At 43.7% G+C, this 22,410-nt stretch overlaps 1 protein-coding gene, 1 long non-coding RNA gene and 1 pseudogene across 8 annotated transcripts in view, besides 9 other annotated features; 2 read left to right on the top strand and 1 right to left on the bottom strand.

Annotated features, from left to right (window-relative positions):
- Nucleotides 7,558-7,607: an enhancer, noted in NCBI's record as "active region_3368". NCBI's record gives its function as "activates an Ori minimal core promoter by ATAC-STARR-seq in GM12878 lymphoblastoid cells {active_cell/tissue: GM12878}" and the evidence as "EXISTENCE:reporter gene assay evidence [ECO:0000049][PMID:35858748]".
- Nucleotides 7,658-7,707: an enhancer, noted in NCBI's record as "active region_3367". NCBI's record gives its function as "activates an Ori minimal core promoter by ATAC-STARR-seq in GM12878 lymphoblastoid cells {active_cell/tissue: GM12878}" and the evidence as "EXISTENCE:reporter gene assay evidence [ECO:0000049][PMID:35858748]".
- Nucleotides 13,196-19,881, bottom strand: SGMS1-AS1 (SGMS1 antisense RNA 1). Its single transcript, NR_126411.1, has 4 exons — nucleotides 19,641-19,881; nucleotides 18,027-18,162; nucleotides 15,654-15,801; nucleotides 13,196-15,255 (listed from the first exon to the last, which is right to left on the bottom strand). It is a non-coding gene; the product is annotated as an SGMS1 antisense RNA 1 (long non-coding RNA).
- Nucleotides 13,510-15,505, top strand: SHQ1P1 (SHQ1, H/ACA ribonucleoprotein assembly factor pseudogene 1; annotated as a pseudogene).
- SGMS1 (sphingomyelin synthase 1) overlaps nucleotides 19,648-22,410 on the top strand; it is a 319,585-nt gene continuing 316,822 nt past the window's right edge. For 5 of the 7 annotated variants that reach the window (XR_007061953.1, NM_147156.4, XM_047424973.1 and 2 more), the window contains exon 1: nucleotides 20,876-21,125. The gene's annotated coding sequence lies outside the window, so the exon portion shown is untranslated. Of the gene's footprint in view, nucleotides 19,913-20,875; nucleotides 21,126-21,422; nucleotides 21,694-22,410 lie in introns of those variants that run through there. The other 2 variants (XM_047424974.1, XM_047424975.1) reach the window with 2 other exon arrangements.
- Nucleotides 19,709-20,338: a silencer, noted in NCBI's record as "silent region_2371". NCBI's record gives its function as "represses an Ori minimal core promoter by ATAC-STARR-seq in GM12878 lymphoblastoid cells {active_cell/tissue: GM12878}" and the evidence as "EXISTENCE:reporter gene assay evidence [ECO:0000049][PMID:35858748]".
- Nucleotides 20,463-20,620: a silencer, noted in NCBI's record as "fragment chr10:52383972-52384129 (GRCh37/hg19 assembly coordinates)". NCBI's record gives its function as "represses an EF-1alpha promoter that drives an FKBP-Casp9 reporter gene in an ReSE screen in phorbol 12-myristate 13-acetate-treated (for megakaryocytic differentiation) K562 erythroleukemia cells {active_cell/tissue: K562(+PMA)}" and the evidence as "EXISTENCE:reporter gene assay evidence [ECO:0000049][PMID:32094911]".
- Nucleotides 20,463-21,007: a biological region, named in NCBI's record as "H3K27ac hESC enhancer GRCh37_chr10:52383585-52384113".
- Nucleotides 20,479-21,007: an enhancer, noted in NCBI's record as "H3K27ac hESC enhancer chr10:52383585-52384113 (GRCh37/hg19 assembly coordinates)". NCBI's record gives its function as "activates a minimal SCP1, AML or CMV promoter by ChIP-STARR-seq in primed H9 embryonic stem cells {active_cell/tissue: H9 hESC(primed)}" and the evidence as "EXISTENCE:reporter gene assay evidence [ECO:0000049][PMID:30033119]".
- Nucleotides 20,669-20,928: a silencer, noted in NCBI's record as "silent region_2370". NCBI's record gives its function as "represses an Ori minimal core promoter by ATAC-STARR-seq in GM12878 lymphoblastoid cells {active_cell/tissue: GM12878}" and the evidence as "EXISTENCE:reporter gene assay evidence [ECO:0000049][PMID:35858748]".
- Nucleotides 21,189-21,528: a silencer, noted in NCBI's record as "silent region_2369". NCBI's record gives its function as "represses an Ori minimal core promoter by ATAC-STARR-seq in GM12878 lymphoblastoid cells {active_cell/tissue: GM12878}" and the evidence as "EXISTENCE:reporter gene assay evidence [ECO:0000049][PMID:35858748]".
- Nucleotides 21,719-22,118: an enhancer, noted in NCBI's record as "active region_3366". NCBI's record gives its function as "activates an Ori minimal core promoter by ATAC-STARR-seq in GM12878 lymphoblastoid cells {active_cell/tissue: GM12878}" and the evidence as "EXISTENCE:reporter gene assay evidence [ECO:0000049][PMID:35858748]".

The following is a 22,410-nucleotide window of genomic DNA, read 5'->3' as shown; positions in this document are numbered from 1 at the left end:
CCAAATCTTGATGAATTTGCAGCAGAGACTCCAGAGATAGTTACTATCTCAAATTATAGTTATTGAAATGACCTGTACCCTTAAGTAACCAGGATCTTTTCACAAACTTTAGCTGAAGAATGGCAGCTAACAGAACTGAATCAATGAGGCTCAGCAAAAAATTTAAAGAAATCTTTTGGTTGATCAGTGTTCATGAGAACCAAAGATCTGAACATCTGCTCTTCTAATTCTTGTAGGACATCTCTAAAAGTAAAGCCACCCATTAGCTGTGTTTCTCAATTTCAGCTACAAAGATTTTAAGACTAATGCCTAAATTCCTCCTCCAAAGGTTTTAATTGGTTTAAGGTGCAGCCTGGATGTTGGGATTTTTACAAGCTCCCAATTGATTGAAAGAAGAAGCCAAGGTTGTGAACTTTAAAGGTTTACAGGTTTCTAAGTTTAGTGGCAACCTCACAGCTGCTGATAATTTCCTCTTAAACCTAACAATTCTGTTTCACTTAGCCAGTGAATGGTGATATCCCTCTAGAAAATAAATACCCAAACCTGGACCTTCCTTTGTTGATGAAATGAGAGTTTCTTAAGCTGGCATGAGTACTTTTTATATTTCCCTCATGGCTCTAATATATAGCCAGGGTTGCAAACTGCTGCTTTACAGTTATTTAGACCTAGCCAATGTGATGCTCTTTCAATGTAGATAACTGAAGAAAATAAACGTGATTAATCATTAGAGCATTTTATTTAAAAATGGAATTTTGCTTAATAACGATTCAATTTTTGTTTATATCACTTATGTAACAGATATATGTTCCAGTTAGAATAGCCTTCTTCATCTAACTTACAGTGCCTGGGAGGCAAATCCTAATACCTGACCAAATTGTACCTAAGTGAAAGAAAATTGGCATTATGAATACAGCAAGTCCTCACTTAACATCCTCAATAGGTTCTTGGGAACTGCAACTTTAAGTGAAATGATGTACAACAAAACCAATCTGACCATAGGCTAATTGATATAAACTAATGTTAAGTTCCTAAGCCCCAAAACACTTCTAATATTAAACATTGAAATAAATGTGAGCTATACATATATTTAAGAAAGATAAATAAAAACAACTAAGATGATTATTTACCCCATTATTCTAGTTCAGGGTCTCAGGTGGCCAGAACTCACTCAGGGTGCAAGGCAGGAGGAACTATCCCTGGACAGGACACCAGCCCATCACAGGGTGCGCTCACACAAAACCACACTCACACTGGGACCATTTGGAAACAACAATGAACCTAATGGGCACATCTTTGGGATATGGGAGGAAACAGGAGTACCTGGAAGAAACTGATATAGACATGGGGAGAATGTGCAAACTCCACTCAGACAGTGGCGCTTGCTGAAAATGGATATTTTTCTTATCAACCTTATAATGAAATGACATTGAACGATGACATTATTCAAGGACCTGCTGTACATTTTAGTTCAACAATTTTTCTACCTAAATGTGAGGAGTCTGTCACTCAGTTTCCAATACCAGATTTTTTCCCATGGGCTTAGGGTGTCTACTCTTTTTTCCTTTTAATTTACATTTTATTTTATTTTATTTATTTTTTTTTAGAGGCAGGGTCTTACTCTGTAGCCCACACTGGAGTGCAGTGGTGTGATCATAGCTCACTGTAACCTTCAACTTCTGGGCTCAAGAGATCCTCCCACCTCCACTTCCTGAGTAGCTAGGATGACAGGTGCATGCCACCATGTCTGGCTATTTTTATTTTTTGTAGAGACGGGGGCCTTCATATGTTGCCCAGGCTGTTCTCGAACTCCTGGCCTCAAGCAATTCCTCCCCTCTACGACGCAATTCTCTCTACTTGGCAGCCCAAAGTGCTGGGATTACAGGTGTGAGCCACTGTGCCTGGCTGGATGTCTATTTTGTTTGTTTGTTGGAGACAGGGTCTTGCTCTGTCACTCAGGCTGGAGTACAGTGACACGATCATGGCTCACTGCAGCCTTGACCTCCCGGGCTCAATTAATCCTCCCACCTCAGCCTCCCAAGTAGCTGGGACTACAGGCGCAAATGCCACACCTGGCTAATTTTTGTACTTTTTGTAGAGATGGGTTTCTGCCATGTTGCCCAGACTGGCCTCAAATTCCTGGGCACAAGCAATCCTCCTGCCTTGACCTCCCAAGTGCAGGGATTACAGGCGTGAGCAACCACACCTGGCTGCAATTTTGTAACTGCAGATCAACTCAGGCTGCTCATCTGGGGGAAAGTGTTATTTTACCTGTTAACATCCACCCCTTGTTAACACTGTGGCATTCTTGCTTGGTGTCTCCCCTAATGAAAAGGTTTGTATTTTCTCTCGGGTGAAGTCACTCTTTACCTGCTTCCTTTGTGTGTTTGGTCCGGAATATTCCTCCTGAACTGGGGCAGAGGCTCTCTGTCTTCACTTTCTCACCATCTGCTTTGAGACTTCTTTTTCAGTTAACATCCTTTTGATTTATGGCTCAACTTTATTCATAACTTGCCCCTGGTTAAAACAATTATTTCTTTATTTAAGGATTTCAGCCCAAATAGCCTCATTGCTAAATAATTTCCTAGATGCTTCTCATACAGATGATTGTTGAACAAAACTTTGACAAGCACTGATTGCTCGAAGGGATTTCTACCAAGTCTCACTTATTGTTAAGATTAAAGGCCTCTTTTGGTATTGCCAAAAGTTTGAGGACAAAGAACCTTGTGCACACTATGTACTGTTTGAAAAATGAATGGCGAATTTTTAAGGCCAATAATTTTTCCTAACATCATAAAACTTCTACATACATGATTCTATATTATATTACCTGGCTATTCAATATTCTTTAATTTTTTTCTTTCTTTCATTAGATATTTTACAAGAGTTTGCTACAATGTGTAACAGATCTAGAGGTTGAGGGATAAAAGTGAATAAAAGGTCTAACGTGACTACAAGGATCACATCTGGAATTATGCCAAGAGTAGATGGTCACCGGATGTTTTTGAATGACTGGATGCCAAATGGCAAAGCAAGGAGATGCATGGGTAAAAAATGCCCATCTCCAAGTTGGATGATGTCAGGGCTCAGAAAGGGCTTCCAATCTCCTCTTATGCTGGTGCCAAGAGGTACCTTTACACTAATGTATTATAGAGACATTGATACTGGAGCATTAGGAATGGCTGTATTCATACAAGATGTTTTCAGAGACATGGCAAAGAGGCCCTTCTTTGGTCAACTGTTCATCCTAAAGTGTGGTACAATTTTTTAGAAAAATAAAATTCAATTATGTAATTTATAGCTATTTTCTTGAAAATGGCAGTCTTAAAGTGTTAAAAGGATTATTATGTTCAATAAAAGAAAACAAGTGGTCACAAGGTTGCTAGACAATTTTGTGAAGTTTATTTTGCAAACATAATAAGAAAAAATATCTATACTGTGATTGCTTCCCAATGTAGGTGACACCATCTAAAGTGATTCAAGTGCCCTTGAATTTGAACAGAATAAGGACAGGTTGATTGCTAAAATACAGGCCTCCTATAAAAGCTTTGGTGCATAGAAATTATGACCTTTATCTACTACATTTTATTTTTATTTTTATTTTTATTTTTTGAGATAGAGTCTCCTTCTGTTGCCCAGGTTGGAGTGCAGTGGTATGATCTCGGCTCACTGCAACCTCTGCCTCCCAGGTTCAATCAATCCTCCTACCTCAGCCCCCCAAGTAGCTGGGATTACAAGCATGCACCACTGCACTTGGCTAATTTTTGTATTTTTAGTAGAGATGGGGTTTCACCATGTTGGCCAGGCTAGGCTTGAACTGCTGACCTCAGGTGATCTGCCCGCCTCAGCCTCCCAAAGTGCTGAGATTACAGGTGTGAGCCACCACGCCCAACCCATATTTTACATTATAGTAAATAATGTTTTAGAAACATGGATTCATCTGTAGATAATAAAACTATCTCTGTCCAGAATTACTGTTGCCATTGTGCAGTCTGTCAGTGTTTTCTGTTGATTAGTGCTATTAGCCAAAAGGGATTATAAACAGGAAATACATTATACCAGAGCAAATTAGCAAATTCAGCATCATTAAAGTTTCACTCAAGTTGTAACATAAGATATGACTTGTTTAATGTTGCTTATACCTGGAGTCATGTTAAATGTGAAGTGTTAAGGAAACTTTGGAGAAATGCACATTGTTAGGATGCTTTCAGGAGTGACTTATTTCTTCTGCTGAAGGAGAATGTTTAAAAGCTCTAGAAAGAAACAGCTAGCATCTGGAGGGTATTGGTGTCCCTTTATCATGGTGTAATGCTCCAAGATATTGCCTGCTCCTTCTCTCTTGCTGCCCTACTGGGGTAGTAGAACCCCAGCTCCATGCAAATGGGGCAGTGGAATGTGAGGGGAGAATGGTGGAAGAAACAGCCTTCTACCAGACTAACTCCCCTCACCTGGACCAGTGCAGTAGCCTTTTACAAGCCTTCCCTGGCCTGCCTACAGTGCCTTTCAAAACATAATCTGAACTTCTATTTTTGAGAAGATGGAGTATCTTTCTATACTTCTGCCACTAAGAACAACGAAAAACTCTCAACATTATGTATAAAACAAACATAAGATTTTCAAAGGTGAAAAAAAGAAGCCAGACCACCTAGGGATCTAGGGACTCAAAGTCTAACAAGGTGGTGGGCTCCCTGGATTATGTTTTTGTCCCATATATCCCAGACTTGGAGAGAAGGAGGCTGACAACCCAGAAATAACAATGTGCACGTACAAGTAAAGCCCCAACAAAAGCCTACTCTCTCCAGCCAAAAGACCAGTAAAAGAGAAAATAGAATTCAGCAGCATATGTAATAATATATCATGACCAAGCGAGGTTTATTTCAGGCTGGCTCAGTAGTTGAAAATGAAGCTATTTAATACATCGTATTAACAGGCTAAAGAAAAAATTCTTGATCATAACAATCAATGGATACAGAAAGACTCTGACAAACTTCAACACCCATGAATGATCTTAAAAACTATCAGAAAAATGGCAATAGAGGGGAGTTTCCTCAACATAATAAATAATATCTACAAAAAACTGCACACATAACATACTGGTTGGGCCTGGTAGCTCACTCTTGCAATTCCAGTGCTTTGGGAGGCAAGAGGATTGCTGGAGGCTAGGTGTTCAAGACCAGACTAGTCAACAGAGTGAGATCTTCTCTCAAAAAAAATTTTTTTAACTTTACTTTTAAATACGATTGTAGTGGCAGTTGCATGTAGTTCTACCTACTTGGGAGACTGAGGCAGGAAGATTGCTAGAGCCCAGGAGTTTGGTGCTGTAGTGAGCTATGATCATACCCCTGTACTCCAACCTGGCCAACAGTGCAAGACTCTGTCTCTTAAAAAAAAATTCCAGCAAGTTTTAAAAATAGATATAGACAACACTATTCTACAATGTATACAGAAAAGCAAAGGAACTAGAATAGCTAAAACAATTTTGAAAAGGAAGGCTAATATGAAAGGGACCAGTCTTACCTGGTTTCAAGGGTTTCAAGACTTATTATACAGCTACTATAGTCAAAACTATATGGTATTGGCAGAGAAATAGACACATAGATCCACTGAACAGAACAGAAGACCCAGAAATTGATACACACAAATATATGCAACTGATGTTTTGACACAGGTACAAAAGAAATTCAATGGAGGGAAGATAGCCTTTTCAATAAATGATGCTGAGCAATCCTTAAGATTAAAAAGTGAGCCTCAACCTAAGATTTATACCTTATGCAAAAATTAACTCAAAATAACTCACGGACTTAAATAGAGAACATTTAAAACTATCAAATTTTAGTAAGAAAAAATCTTCATGATGTAGGACTCAGCAAAGACGACTTAGACTCGACACCAAAAATATGGTCCATAAAAGGAAAAGCTGATAAATTAGACTGCATCACAATTAAAAAACTTTGCTCTGTGAAAGACCCTGTAAACAGGATAAAAAACAAATTGGAGAGTGGGAAAAAAATTGCAAACCCCATATTTGACAAAAGGGACTAGTATTTGGAATATAAAAGTAAACTCTCAAAACTCAACATTAAGGCTAATAATCCAATTAGAAAATAGGCCAAAGACATGAAGAGACACTTCACCAAAGGTAATATACAGATGGCAACTAAGCACATGAAAAGATGTTCAGCATCGTTGGCCATTAGAGAAACTCAAAGCAAACCACAACAAGCAATTACCACATACCTATCAGAATGGCTGAAATAAAAAACAGTGGCAACATTAAATTCTGATGAGAATGAGGAGAAACTGGATCACTGGTACATTACTGTTGAGAATGTAAAATGGTGCAGATACTCTGGAAATAGTTTGACAGTTTCTTTATGCATGATAGTTTCTACATGCAACTATCATATAACTCAGCAATTGCACACTTGGGCATGTATCCCAGAGAAACAAAGACTTCATGTTCACACAAAAACCTATACACAAATGTGTATAGCAGCTCTATTTAAAATCTCTGAACATTGGAGCAGACCCAGATGTCCTTCAACATGTGAATGGTTAAACAAACTATGGCACCCCTATACATGGAACACCGCTAGTCAGCCCTCTAAAAAGGAACAAACTATTGACACGTGAAACAACCTGAATGAATGTCCAGAAAATGATGCTGAGAGAAAACAGCCAATCCCATGAGGTTCTATACTATATGATTCCACTTATATAACTGTTGAAAAGACAAGATTATAGAAATGGAGAACATATTAGTGGTCACCAGGAGTAAAGTGGGGAGGGCTATCCAAGGACAACAGGAGGGATTCATGTGGTGTTGAAAATGCTTTATCTTGACTGCACCAAGGTCAATATCCTGGTTGTGATATTGTACCATAGTTTTGCAAGATGTTACCATTGGGGAAACTGGATAAAGGATATATGGGATTCCCCTGTATTATTTCTTACAACTGCATATGAGTCTATAATTATTTCAAAATAAAAAAGCTTAATTTTAAAAACCGTGAGCATCTTACTATATCACCTCTCTTCAGTAACGTTTTCACCACAGCTTGAAAGATAAAATCAAAATGCTTAATGCTTGAGTAGAGCCTATATGATTAGAACTTGCATGGTCTAGCCCAGTGATTCCCAGGCCTGGCAGAGTTACCTATGAAGCTTATAAAAAAAATACTGATGCCTAGGTCCTAGTCCAGCTCAATTAAATGAGGATCTGTTGGTGCAACTATACATTCATTAGTGTGTTTATCTGATTAAGTCCGTCTCACCAGCAGACCATAGGCTCTGTGAGGACAGGCACCAGGGCTGCTTATGCTTTCCAGCACCCAAATCAGTGTCTGTCACTCAGGAGGTGCTCAATATTTGTGAAGCAAATGAATGAATGAATGAATAGAGGTGAAACAGAAACATCCTCCTCCCCTCTCTTTCTGCCTCCCTGGACCCACGAAAGGGATAAGGAGCCTTCCCTGGTTTCATCCCTGTCTCTCCAGGGCTCCATTACAAAATTGCAGCAGTAATCATGGCATTGCTCCGAGAGAGATCTAACCTACAGCTATGAAATCTGGAAATGATGACAGTGCCTCCTTCTTTACACTCAATCAACAAATTTAATGAAAGTGAAACAGAAGCTGACAAGGAGGCTGACATGACACATGCTCTTACTCATGCAGAAATAATAGAAAGCCTTTTAAATGCAGCTAAAAAAATTAAAGACACTGACAAAGAAATGAAAAAAAAAAAAAGATTTTAGGAGAGGAGAAAAGCTGGGGGCAAAAAATCTCCTAACTTTTGCCCTAATAATCACATTTGCAGAAAGTCTCTTCTGTGCTGCTCATGGAGCCAGAGTGGTTCATATTATGTTAATGTGTGAATAAGATTATGCAAAAAGAAAGAAATTCAGCAAATTCCAAGGTATTCTTGGGCTTATTCTGGCCTATTGCCCCACCTCCACCCCAGCATCTATATCAACATTTGCAGTGTGAGTAAAACAATTAATATTTTAAACAATTACCTTGAGACATTGCAAGTTCCGGAATTTGATAAGAATCTCAGCCCACAAATCCACAAACACCAGAGTGTGAGAAATATAACTACACATTTCAGTAACTCCACTTAACTCTTTTATCTCTATATCACTACCACCACCGCTGCCACTACTACTCATTCTACCTATCTGATGGTAAGCTTGTCCTTTTAAAAATCTCGGCATCATTTTACTCACTCATATGCAGTATTTTAAAAATTTTGGGTGGGGGCAGGGTTTTGCAAATACTCCCTGGAATTGTCAAGGCTTCCAGAGGTGAAGTATTGTGGGGTGGAAGGGCAGCAAGGCCTTTCATGTCTGGCAGCTCTGCCGTTTGGATTCATGGTTTGGACTTGGGAACCTTTATTAGGCTGCTTATAGTTACATCTGCCCAGATACTCTCCGGCCTTGCTTTCTCCCTGACGGTGATACTGGAAAACTGGTATAGCACCCTTTTCTTTCCCTTCCGTCTCCTTTTTCTAAACAGAATGGCTTTCTAGTGTGGGGTGAAAAGAAGCTCCACTCATTCCCCTTCCTGAGATATCTTGTCTCAGGAAAATATCTTGTCCCAGTTTCTTGGGGCTCAAATTTTGGGAAACAAAGGCAGGAAATCTAACAGGCTTTCTGCTGTCACTGGAGGCTAGGAACACAGGCCAAAACATCTGTTGGAATGGGGACAGGTTTGAGGGAGAAGAAAAAGAAGGAAAATGAGATATATAGTGATGGAAAAAGTAGATTATTCCAACATGTTGTCTTGGAATGACAGCTAACATTATTACATGCTCACACAGTATGCCAAGGGCTCTGGTAAGTGTTTTATGTGGATTATTATGGAGAAATGCTCACAACCTGAAAATAAGTTGGTATTGTTACTCACATTTTACAGGCAAGGAAACTGAGGCTCCAGGAAGTTTATTCATTTGACCAATGTTACACAGTTAATAAGTAGCAGGGCTCAGATTTGTGCCCAGTTTCTGATTCCAAAGCCCATGCTTTTAACTACTGCAGGAAAAGATAGTGATGTTTAAGATCTTGCAGGATAGGAAAGGGTATGAACCCATTTTAGGACTATTTTTCTAACCATGGGGATTGAAATAAAAAAGAATACAGGGCTTAAGCAGTGGCCTCAGTCAATAGAAACATTCAGTTAACCAGGATTCCATGAGGCTTTTCTGACCTGGCCACTTTGCGCTCCAGCTGTGGTGGTTTCTCCTCCTAGTTCCCAGCTGTGTTCCTGTCTCTGGTTCCCTGAGTGTTGCTCTCACTGTTTTTCTTGGCACCTTTATCCTGGTGGTTCTACCTCTTCATCTTTCTCTTTCTTGCCCCTGGCTCCACTCCATGACTTCTGGTTCATGATGAAGGAATTTATGCTTCAATCTTGCAGTTTTCTTTGAGAGCTAACCCAGTGGCCTTTAGCTATGGCTCATGCCAATGGCCCTTATGGGTTCTTTCATTTTTGCCTACTAGGTTTCCCTATGAAGTTCTCCAATGCTCTTTCCCAGCTCCCAGATGCCCACCATGACCAGCCCTCCAAGGTCACTTGGTTTGGTGAGCATTTAAGCCCTTAGGTCTCAGCAGTACCCTGGGAGAGGACCTGTTGCAGCAGGTAATGCCAGTGTCCATATATCCCAAGGCATCTGTAGTAAGAAACCATGTAGAGAACTGTTCCATTTAATGCATACAGTCAGGGCAGGCAGCCCCTTAACAGCGAGAGCTTTTAGCTCACAGAGAAGCCTTTAGCAACCATCCTGAAGTGAACAAGGGGCTTAAAATGATTGACTTGTCAGACAAGCATGTTTTTTAAACAACAAAAACTGTCGCATTAACCTTGTTGTAGCCCCAGGAGTTATCGAGCCATATATAACTACTACCACACTCTTTTAAAAAAACTACCAGGTTCAATGCCATTAAAACAGCTTGGCCAAAACCACAGATGGGTTGCCAAGGTACAAGTGAAAACAGGAAAATAATGGGACAGGTGGGAGTGGGGACATACACACACAACAGTGAGGCAATTCAAAGAGAAAATAATTTAAGTAGTTATTATAGAAACACATTGAAATTTGTGAATTTGTCCTTCTAAATTTCTCTCTCCTCTGCCTCACTTCAATGGTACGAAGTCCCTTCAGGTTCTGATGTGATTATTGATTATTGATCTTCCTGCCTTTACTACATGGTCTTTCTTTATAATTCCCCAAATCCTGTGAAGAGTTAATATCATCCCCAGTGTAGACACAAGAAAATGAGGCCCCAAGAGGTTATCAAATATTAGGGCAGGGTCTGGTGGACAATAAGTGACTTTTCTATTATATGACACTGGCTATAGTAGGTCCTAAGGAGTAGATTTAGGGATTTGAGGACGAGCCCATATACCTAGTTTAATGGCCGGCCTTTTGGTAGTCTTCAAATTAAAACACGTAATGTCTGTCCATTCTGCCTTTATGAAAGTTGATTAGGGCCAGAGTAGAAAGCACTATAGTTGCAAAATAAGGAACTCTTTCTTTGGCATTTGATAAAATTTCTGTAGAGCCGTTATTCTGGTTGAGGAGTTTTTAAAAAATGTTTACGCCTGGGCTGCACCCCATAGTAATTATATCAGACTCCCTTGGAATGGACCCCATGCATCAGTATTTTAAAAACTCCCCAGGTGTTTTACCCTGTAGCCAGGGTCAAGAACCAGGGCTCTAAAGCAGTTGTTCTCAAACTCGAACATGCGGAAGAATCACCTGGAAGGCCTGTGAAAACACTGGTTGCTAGGACCCACTCTCAGAGTTTCTGATTCAGTAGGTCCGGGGTGGGTCCCAAGGATGTGCATTTCTAGCAAGTTCCCAGGTCACATGATATTCCTCTTCTGAGGACCACACCTGGAGAACTAGGAAGGTAAGCTGAGTGAAAGTAAAGTCAGTCTATGCTTCTGCTCCCTTTCTTCCTGTTTATGAGGTTATAAGAAGTTTGTGTCTGATTCTCCTCTATGTCCTTCCACAATGCTAACTCACCCAACAAGAATACTAGAAGAACATCATTTGCTGTGTAAATGATAAATAGTCTGTGAGCATCAGAAGTGTTTTTAAATAAATCAGGCAATGAATCCCATCAGGCTTTGAATGAGTTCTAAGGAGTTTGCCACTATTTTCAGTAGGAAAATAGACATCCTTCAAAGAAAATGTATCCTCAAATTCAGTTGTGCTACTCATTCTAACAGCATTTTTAAAGCCTTTGCAGTTATTCCTCTTTATTATTTTTAATGAAGTCAAGTCATAAAGTTTGTGGAACAGGGAAAAAACCTTGAGTCTGTTAGGATAGGGTAATCAGATTTAGAAAAAGAAACAAACAAACAAACATACACATGCACACACATAGGACATCCAGTTAAATTTCAATTTCAGATAAATAATGAATAATTTTTTAGGATAAGTATGTCCCATGCAATGTTTGACAACCCTGATCAGGGCTAAATATTGGGATGGGAATAACATAAATGCCTACTGTGGAGAACTGGGACATACCATATCCATTTCTGTTTTATGGATACACAGAATTACTTACTTGATCTTGTACCTTGTCCATTGCGAACTCAAAAAACATTGGCTGAATTGTTAGAATATGAATACCTAAGATATAAATGCAATATATGAAAGTGCTGAGTGATTTCAAAGAAGGATGCTTGATCAACTTAAGATTGCAGTGCCTTTTGATTTAGTTGCCCCACTTTGATCATTGCCTAAACCAGTGATTCTCAACTGAGGATGATTCTCCATAACAGGGGACATTTGGCAATGTCTGGAGATATCTTTGGCTGTCACAAGTGGGTGGGGGAGGTGCTACTGGCATCCATTTGGTTGAGGCCAGGAATGCTGCTAAACACCTGATGATGTACAGGACAGCCTCTGGTAACAAAGAATTATCTGGCCCAAATGTCCACAGAGCTGAGGTTGAGAAATCCTGGTCTAGATAATAGTGCAGAGGATTTAGCAAATCTTTTGTTGAATTTTTCTGGCCATGTCCTGGAGTGAGTTGGAATCTCATTCTTCCAGGTGTCAACGGAGGATAGATGTTTTCTCCTATTATACTGTGAAGGAATGGGTGGAAGAATTTTGATATGCTTCTTCGAAATCTTACGAAACAAGGAAGGTGCTGCTGAGGTTCCAGAAAAGGTGCCAGTCTTCAGTTGCTGCTGTTCTTCCTGTAGCCTAGCCTAGATTTGAAGCTTTTGAAGAGTTCATGAAGGCACTACGAAATTTAGGTGAGCGCGCTGTATCAATCTCCCCTTCTTTAGTGTGCGAGATATAATTTTTGTCTCAACCTTCCAATTAGTTCTGGCCATCCAGGACTTGTTTGCAAGTGGTAATTGGAGGAGGTGCTGACCCAACATGTATTCATTATTTTGTGTACTACCACTGTTGATATAATACAGGTACTTTGTACTAAATACAGCAACAATGAACATTCATAATACATTGAACAATATCTTACGTTTGCATTTGTTTACCTCTAATGAACTATAAAATATTTTATAGACATATATTCTTATTCAATAATTAATTAATTCTCATGATACCCATGGGAAGCAAAGTGGGGGTGGGTCATATTATTCCCATTTTAACAGGAGATAATTAAACCTTGCCTGGAGTTACACACTGACTATTTGAAAAGCCAGGAGTAAATTACAAGTCTTGACAATGGTGCCATGTCTGCCAGTCAGGGCAGTGTTCTGCTGATGGCACTGATTCATCAGTCCCTGGTTAATGCCCAGGCATAAATGTCTAATTTGAAAATCCTTTTTAAATGTAATGTGGCAGATTGTGAAGGGTGGTTGCTAATTAGAGAAGAAGGATAACATAGCAAGGACATTTCCATCCCTGGTGGTTTACCCTTTTTAAACAAAAACATACCAGTGAAAAGTAGAAAAGAAAATCATACATTATGGTTGAATAACTGTTTACTATGGGCTACTTGGTGCCAAGTCCTATGCTAGGTACTCTGAAAGATGAAAGCTAGATATATATCCTCAATAGAAATTTAATATGTAATTGAAGAATCAAGACTTACCTGCAAGAAACATGCAGAGAACTGTAAAAGACATAACATAATCAAGTGCCAAAATGTGTGTATAGGAGGCTTCTGTGTCCTGGAAGACAGACTTTTTTTTTTTTTTTTTTTTTTTTTTTTGAGACAGAGTCTCACTCTGTCACCCAGGCTGGAGTACAGTGGCATGATCTCGGCTCATTGCAACCTCTGCCTCCCGGGTTCAAGTGATTCTCCTGCCTCAGCCTCCCGAGTAGTGGGGATTACAGGCGCCCACCACCACGTCCGGCTGATGTTTGTATTTTTAGTAGAGACGGAGTTTCGTCATGTCGGCGGGGCTGATCTTGAACTCCTGACCTCAGGTCAGGATCCACCCGCCTCGGCTTCCCAAAGTGCTGGGATTACAAGCGTGAGCCACTGCGCCTGGCCCAGACATCTTTTATTTTAAAAAGGTAAAATTGGAGAGAGTTGCTTGGTGGGACCGCCGCGGCAGCGAGGGCGAGCCGCGCTGGCCCCTGCGTCTGGTGCCGCGATGCTGACCCCGGCGTTCAGCCTCAGCCAGGAGCCGGATTTCCTGACCATCGCCATCCGCGTGCCCTATGCCCCGGCCTCCGAGTTCAACGTCTACTTCGAGGGGTCGGCCTAGACTACTATGCCAAGCCGTACTTTCTCAGATTAACCCCTCCTGGAAGAATTGTAGAATATGGATACGGAAGCGAGCAAGGGTCCTATGATGCAGATAAAGGAATTTTTACCACTCGCCTGCCCAGAGAAACCCCTGGCCAGCATTTTGAGGGGCTGAACATGTGTTGCTCTTCTGGCACCAGGAAAATCCGGGACAGCAAAACCACTTGTGGAAGCAATAGGTGATTCTGAAATTCCTGAGGAAGTAGTTGACGATGAAGAGTTTGATTGGGAAATTGAGCAGACACCCTATGAAGAGGTAACAGAAAGTGCTTTGAATCCTCATGCCACTATGGGTTTGGAAACTTACGATCAGGAGTGTTTCAGCAGTTACAGGATGAATTGAGTGATGTTATTAAGGATCCAGATTTCATCCCTGCAGCAGAACGAAAACAAAAGCACCTGGCCGCCGAGCTGGCCAAGTTTGATCCTGATCATTATCTAGCTGACTTTTTTGAAGATGAGGCAGTTGAACAGATTTTGAAGTATAATCCTTGGTGGACTGACAAATATTAAAAAATGACGGCCTTTTTGGAAAAGAGTCAGAAGCAAGAAAATCATGCTGCATTAGTGTCTTTTTCTGAAGAAGAGAAATATCAGCTACAAGAATTTGTCAATAAATCTTATCTGCTAGACAACAGAGCCTGTCGTCAAGTGTACTACAGTTCGATTGATATCCTTCTGGCATATTGCTAAGAAACCCGTGTCACTGAAGGAGACAAGAACGTTGAATCTGCATGGAATATCACGAAACTTGAGTCCAATACTATGCTGGTTTGAGACTTGGACTAATGTTCATGATATCATGGTGTCTTTTGGAAGAAGGGTATTGTGTTACCTGCTCTATCGCCATTTCAAACTGGCGATGAAGGCCTACGGGGAGACTATAAAGATACTGCAATTAAGTAAAAGTGCAGTTTTAAAGTGTCTCCTGGATATTCACAAAATTTTTCAGGAAAACGACCCAGCATACATACTGAATGATCTCTACATCTCATACTACTGTGTGTGGACTCAGAAAGTCAAATCCAAAACGTTGGCAGCTCTTGCAGAAGCCTTAAAGGAAGTCTCCCTTACAAAGGCCCAGTTGGGGTTAGAACTGGAAGAACTAGAAGCAGCAGCACTTCTTGTCCAGGAGGAAGAATCTGCATTACAAGCAGCCCATTCAGTTTCTGGGCAGCAGAAACTTTGCTGCAGCTCTGAGGCAGGTGATTCAGAGGACTCAGACAGCACTGTGTCATCTGGAAACAAAGACTCAGACTCACATTCAGAACAAGATGAACTCAAAGATAGTCCATCTGAGACAGTTCTTTGCAAGGTCCCCTTCTTGAAGAAAGCAGTGCCCTTCTGATTGTTGATGGTGGAGTATGCAGAAACACAGCCATCCAGGAGTCTGATGCCAGTCAGGGAAAGCCACTTGCCTCTTCCCAGCCTCTTGGAGTGTCTGGGCCTCTGATAGAGGAGCTTGGGGGAACAACTGAAGACCACCGTTCAGGTTTTTGAACCCGAGGGCACCACTGCTGTAGACCACATCAACATGCAGGAGAGAGATGGCTGTCAGACACCAAATATTTGACTCTTAAGTGGTTTTATTCATTGTTGAGAAATGTGTTAGATTTGGTTTCATTTACAGAATGAGAATTCCTCATTTTCACTTTGTAATTTTTCTTAGTATATACAGTCAGCCTGCTGTATTTGTGGGTTCCACATCTGTGGATTCAACCAACTGCTGATCAACAATTTTTAAGAAAAAACTGCATCTGTACCAAACATGTACAGACTTTTTTTCTTATTATTCTCTAAATAATACAGTGTAACTATTCCCACAGCATTTACATTGTATTGGGTAATATAAGTAATCTTGTGATGATTTAAAGTGTACAGGAGGATATGGGGAGGTTATACGCAAATACTGTACCTTTTATTTTTTTATCAGGGACTTGAGCATCTGAGGATTTTGGTGTCCTCAGGGGTCCTGGAACCAACTCCTCACAGATACTGGGATGACTTTATGACATTGTTTTTCAATCAGTGAATGTTTATACCTTTTGGTTTCCTTGCTACAACTGTGAAGATAAAATTCAAAAGTATTTTTACCAAAGTGTAGCTAATATTTCAAGCTGAAAATAATAGTTCTACTGCCAGTGTCTCCAGAATGTGGAGCCCATTAATATTTTTATTTTAGCTTTACTGAGGTATACTTGACCGCTGATAAACTGCACATATCTAAAGTGTACAGTGTGTTGGCATATGTATACCCTGCGTAAAACTATCACTGCGATCAAGGTGAAAATCAGACCCATCATCCCCAAGTGCCCTTTTGCCCCATTATTAGTTTGCATGTCCTAGAATTCTATGTAAATTGAATCATACAATATGTATCCGTTTTTTGGTCAGCCTTATTTTACTCAGTATAATTATTTTGAGATCCATCCATGTGGTAGCATTTGTCAAGAGTTTTTGTTTTTGTGTTTTTCATTGCTGAGTACCACTTCATTGAACAGATTTGTCCATTGACCTACCGATGAACACTTGGGTTGTTTCCAGTTTGGGGCTGTTATAAATAAAGCTGTTATGAACATTTGTATACAAAAAAAGGTGAAATTGGAGATGGACCTTGAAATATTAGTAAGATTAAGTGGCCAGTGGGAATCTGGGGAAATAGGATTCAACTAGACAAGAGGGTTAATGAATATAGGTAGGGTTGTTCTTGTTACTCTCTGGAAGAGATTAAAAACTTGGGAGCTCTCAAGTGGTCATTTCATGGAACTGAAGGAAAAAAGCCAGAAACCACAGGGAGAGAATAAATAGAAATGCAGAGGAGACAGAGGGAGACTTTCTGGGTTCCTTTCAATACTCCAGTTCCTGGTTTCCATCTCATCCCGAGGCTCAGCTGCATCCCTGATCTACCCTGGTATCTTCAAATAAATTCCAAGTTTTTTGTCAATGAATAGAAGCCAAGCAGTTATTGAAGCCAGGAATCCTAGCCAGGTACACAGGAATGAGCACAGAATGTTGAGTATTATCAGATCTAAGCCTCGGGGCCAATACTTGGAATGACCTTTGTTGTCTTCGACTAGCTTTTTTGGTTAGCCTTGGTTTGGAACCCAGGTTGGCCAGAAGAGTTTAAAGAGCTAAGCAGGGGCTCCTAAGGTCTTGCTCCTGTTATTCAGGCTACGTGGCTCTGGATCACATTGAGACAAATTTCCATGGATAGAAACAAAAGTCTCCTTGCTTCCAGAGCACTATTTGAACTTTGACTACAGGTGGTTGGTAGTGATACCTATAGTATCTCCCATTTAATTCCCCAGTTTAGACTGTGCAGAAGACAAATGGATCTTGAAGAATGACTGTGGAATGTCATAAATGTAATCAGATGGGGACTCCAATTTCAGCTGCTCTCCCAGAAGTAGTACCTTTACTGGGGCAGATTAACACATTGGTATGCACCTGGGGCAGATCTGACATTTGGTATGCACTTATTTACCTGGCTAATGCCTTTTCCTCCATACCAATTTGCAAGGTCCATCAGAAGTGATTTGCTGTTACCCAACAGGGCCAACAATATGTCTTCCCAGTGTTGCCACGGGCTCCATTAGTTCTCTTGCTCACTGCCATAATAGTCTGAAGTGATCTTGATTGTTCTGACATTCCACAAAACATCACACTGGTCCACTCTATTGATGACATTATGTGAGCATCATTGGATCCCATGAGTACGAAGTAGTAAGTACTTTAGATGCCTTAGTAAGATGTATGCTAGAGGGTGAAAGAGACCTACAGAGATTAAGGTGGTGAGAGAAGCCCACCTTCTCAATGGTGAGTGATGGCTACTGCTGAAAGGTCCACTGAATAAAACCACATTTTAAATCAGGTAGTTTACCTTCTAAAGGTAGAAAAGTCATTCATTTGGAACCAAACCACCTACTTCAGAATAGCTGTTTTGGTAAGTGAAGCATTTGCTTCAGTATTTGCTCTTAGTATTATTTTTAACAAGATTTCTAATGACAGATTGTGACTTGGAGGTGATTCACTTTTGTTTCCTAGTTGTCTTGACAGCAACGTAATTCATGATATTCTGAGTACTTGAGAATCCAAAAATTTTACAATCCAACAATATGATGTTTATTAAAATTTTCCTAAGAAATACACTGGTAAGCAAGGCACAGTGGCTCATGCTTGTAATCTCAGCACTTTGGGAAGCGGAGGCCTGTGGATTACTTGAGCTCAGGGGTTCAAGGCCAGTTTGGGCAACATGATGAAACAGCCTCGGCCAAAAATAAAAAATTACCTGGGCATGGTGGCTTGCACCTGTGGTCTCAGATACTCAGGAGGCTGAGGGTGGAGGATCACTGGAGCCCTGTAAGTCAAGGCTGCAGGGAGCTGTGATGGTGCCACTGCACTCCAGCCTGGGTGACAGAGTGACTCTGAAGAAAAAGAAAGGGCACTGATAAAAATTCTTTAGGATTGGATGGACTAAAGAGGGAGAACTATTTTTATTCAATTTTTTTTTTTGGTTACAAATAATAGTGACTTAAGGACCATAACTAAATATAATTTCAAGGAGGGGCAACTCTTAGTGTCTCTTATAACCACTTCACACAGAATTTACTTTTACTGCTATGGTGATTTCTCTTTAGATTTCTTTCTGTATTTATTTACGCTTTTATTTTTTATGTATGGTGTATATATCTATGACTTTTTCTCTCTGATTTTATGAAACTGAAATTAAAGTGGAAATACTTCTATGCCCTGCTTTTTTCCATGTGCTATATATATATCATCCTAAAATTACACATGGAAAAAAATTTAAAAGGATTTTATTATGAAACATTTCAAACATATAGAAAATTTGAAAAAAAAAATTATGCCAGTACCTTAGACACACGATTTACATTCAAGAAGTATTAATATTTTGAAAAATTTAGTTATCTTTCATGTGGGGGTGGGGTGCATTTTAAAGTACATCAAAGACCAGATGCTTACTTGGACCTTTGTTTCAGGAAGTCCAGAGCTTACAGCATATTCTGGATAGCACTGGAGAGAAACCAACACGGGAGAGAAAGCAGCCAGCAGTTTTCTGGCACTCCCTTAGTTTGAAAAAATTTACATCACAAGAAAGCAAGCCTTCCTTTCACCTTTTAGGTGCAAACTGATAAACATAACCAGTAGGGCTACTATACTTCACAGAGCCTTGCTCCCAGTAGATACTCAAAACATGCAGTTGAACTGAATTTCAGTTGTTATTTTAAAGCCGTGCTTGAAAAGCGTATGTGACAAATGTACTTTCCTAATCTTCCTGAGAAGAGCAGTACTGTGTCTTACGGGCGAAAAAACCAGAGGAGCCAGGAGTGGAGGGTGCAATAAAACGCCTGCATTGGGGCAGATTGCCTCATTTTGAATCCCTGACTCCTCACTGTGCTTTGGGGAAAACTATGGAAATTTTCACTGCCTAGCTTATTAAAATGGACTGCTTAGCTGAAATATAGAGGCGTCCATGACAACTACCCGGAGGGCTTTGTTAATCATATTGCAGGACTCCACCCGCAGTTTCTGGTTCTGTAGGTCTAGGTGGGGCCGAAAACGTGCATTTCTAACAAATTCTAGGGTGATAGTGACGCGGCAGGTCCCGAGACAACAGGAAACCCAAGGGACTCGAGGCAGGCGCTCAATAAATATTCACTATGAACCTCAGCACCATCGAAGCGGCCCACCAGCAGGGGCCGCGGGGTATGCGCTGCAGGGAAGAGCACGGCCTCTGTCCAATGTCCCTGCCGGTACATCACTCCTCTGCAGGGACTAGGTTAGAACCGGGAGGCAGCCAGAGCAGCGCTCTCGCTGGATAACGGAAGAGGACTCCCTCGCCAACTTCCGCCTCTGGGGAAAAGCGGGGACCCTCCGCCACCTGAGTTCTGTTGTCTCGATTTCGCCGCAGTTTGCTTCTGGCCCGGGCGAGAACCTGTCCTCTGGGCAAGCCAGGGGTCGGTACAGGACTCCTATACCCCAAGGCGAGGCGGAGGCAGGTGCCGAGCGGTGGCCAGAGTCCGGCGCCCAAAGCCCGATGGGAGGGCGTGGCGGGGGAGGACGGTCCCGCCAGCTCCCAGGTCGGTTCCGAGCGCCCGCGGCCCGATGGCCGGGCGGAAGATGGCTGCCCGGAGCGCCGCGGACAGTCACGTGGTACGCCGGGCCCGTAGCCGCGCCCCTTCCCCCGCTCGCCAAGTCCCCGACCCCGCGGGAGGCACGGCCTCGGGCTGCCTGTAGGCCACCGAGGTGCGGCGCGGGCCGGCCAGGGACGGCGGGCATCGGGGCGGGAAGGCCAGCTCTCCCCGCTGTCCATCCTAACTTGGGCGCTGGGGCTTCGCTCGGGGAGCAGAGGAAAACCTTCCTTCAGGCGACTTGCACCACGTGGGGCTACTGGGCATGCGCGGGCTCCGACCCCGGCCTAGCCGCTCTCCGGGTTTTCGCCGCAGCTCGGAGGGGCGGCGGAAGGTGGGCCCCAGGCGGGGCGGGGCGGCTCTGACGCAGTCGGAGTTTTCACCTCGCGCGGTTAGAGCTCTTGCGCCTCCGTCGCGCTCCCAGGCGTCGCCAGAGGCTTTTTTTTTCTGTTGTGGGAGAAAGATGAGAGTCTATGGTTAGAGGTTTGAAAATGGGCCGAATAGTCAGGTCGGCCGTTTCCTAGGAATGATCCATTGGGCATTAATCCCAAGTGTCGCAGCCCTTGGGCTTGGTGGGAAAAAGAATCCAGTAGTAGTTCGCAAACTCGTGCCTGGCTTCCAGCAGGCTGAGTTTGCGTTCCCTGCTTTGTGACCAGCTCTAGCGGCTCCCGTCTCCGGCCCTGCCCCAAGGGATTTACCGTCCCAGATTGTAAAATCTGGCTCCCGCTAGGCCTTACTTAGTGGGCCCCTAAAAACGCTGGGGAAAGCGCCCGCCTCCTCAGTTTCCCATTACTTGAAAGTAAAATTCAAGGGGCCCAAACTGCGACTGTCCCTTGGTTCGGGGTCCCGCTCGGTCCCGGGAGGAGCCCCCCGCGGACCCCGCCCGGCCGGCCCGCCCCCCCGGCCGCAGTGAACACCCGGAGGAGCGGAGTCGCGTCGCGCGGGAAGCCGGGCCGGCTCGGGCAGCGGACTGGGCATGCTCGGCAGCCCGGGAGGCTCGCGGTGGCAAGTCGAAAGCGTTCGCACCAGCGGGGCAGCGGCTGCGGGCGGCAGGCGGCGGGCAGGTCGGGAGTGAGAAGGACCGGCCTGGGCTGACTGCTCTCCCCTCGCGCCTAGGGAGCCGGTCGGAGAGCGCGATTGGGGTGCGGAGCCCCGACGCTGCCCTGCCCCGGATTTCATTCCGCGGCGGGGGCTCCGCGAGCGGAATTCCGGCGGCTGCCGTGACTCCAGTGCAAGTGAGTCGTGGGGCAGGGACAGACAGCCGGCCTCACGGTTGCGGGGGCCGATCGGACACCTGTCTCGCGGGCCCGGCCTTATGCCGGGGAGCAGCGGGCGGGCTGCTCTGGGGCGAGGGGGCGTGAGCGCAGCCCGCGCGGTGCCGCGCGCGTACCTGGCGGGCAGTCCTCCAGAGCTGCTGCTCCCGTGGGTGGTCACAGCGGGGAGGTCCGGCGGCCGGGATCCGGGCTCGGAGGGGGCGGGCCGCCGGCGGGGCTCCCCGGCTAAGTTGGGGCGGGGAGGAAGGAGGAGGCGTCAGTGGGCACCTTTTCAGAGCTACTGCGTGCGGGCTGGAAGGCTGCCTGGTGTCGGATTGGGGCGATCGGGAGGCGGGGAGCCTTTGGGCAGTAGCCCGCCCGGGGTCCGGAGACCCCCACCCAGGGGCCGACTCCAATCACGGCTCCACCCCCACAGCCTAGGTGGCGGTGTGACAGTTGGTACCTTCGGTCCAGATCGCAGCCGGCCAGGCGCCCACTATTTCGGGATCCCCCCACCGTAGCCCCTCGATGCCCCCTGACGACAAAACAGGTGGGACCCCCCCTCCCCGAGGAGCGCTCCCCTTCTCTCCAGGCCGCGTAACAGCCCGCCAGGCTCGCGGGCGGCTCTGAGACCCCGCAGGGCTGCCCCCGCGGGGCGGGGACGTTTAGGGGCAAGGCCTGGAGGGGAATCGGCGCAGCCCAGAACTGGACAGTCTCTCCAGGACGCCGCTTTTCCGTGACAGAGGGGGTCTGCGCTATCCCCCAGCGACGTGTCAAGGGCAAAACAGCAGCAGCAGCGGCTGCCTCTCCCACCGTCTTAACCCGAACTCGGGCTTGTGGCGTCCTCCCGTGGGCCGGATAGAGTGCCCTAGTCCAGCTAACGGATTCAGCCTGGAGCGTTCTGGTGAATGCTGCTTTCCTCTTTGGTGCCGCGAAGTAGAAATCGGGATAAGGGTTGTCATGGCCGGAGGGAGCGAAGAGAATCCAGGCAGGTGCTTCTCAGATGTTTCTTTTCACCTTCAAACAGTACAGACTTCAGCGGTACACGCTTACGAAACCAAGTGAAGGCTGCTTTCTGAAAGGGAAGTTTATTTTCTATGTTCTGGGGCCTGTCGACTATTTTAGCTCCCTTGACATTTATCTTCCTGGACCTTTAAAGCTGTTTGGACAGGTTATTTTGCTTTTAGGTTTGGGGATGTTTCTAGTTGGCTCCCTGGATGTGGAAGTGGCGAATGTCTGATGTGCTGTGCTGTGAACTCCCCACGCT

This window comes from Homo sapiens, chromosome 10 (genome assembly GCF_000001405.40).
Source record: "Homo sapiens chromosome 10, GRCh38.p14 Primary Assembly".
NCBI lineage: Eukaryota > Metazoa > Chordata > Mammalia > Primates > Hominidae > Homo > Homo sapiens.
Note: the sequence above shows the minus strand (reverse complement) of the source record. Positions and strands in the feature narration are given on the sequence as shown.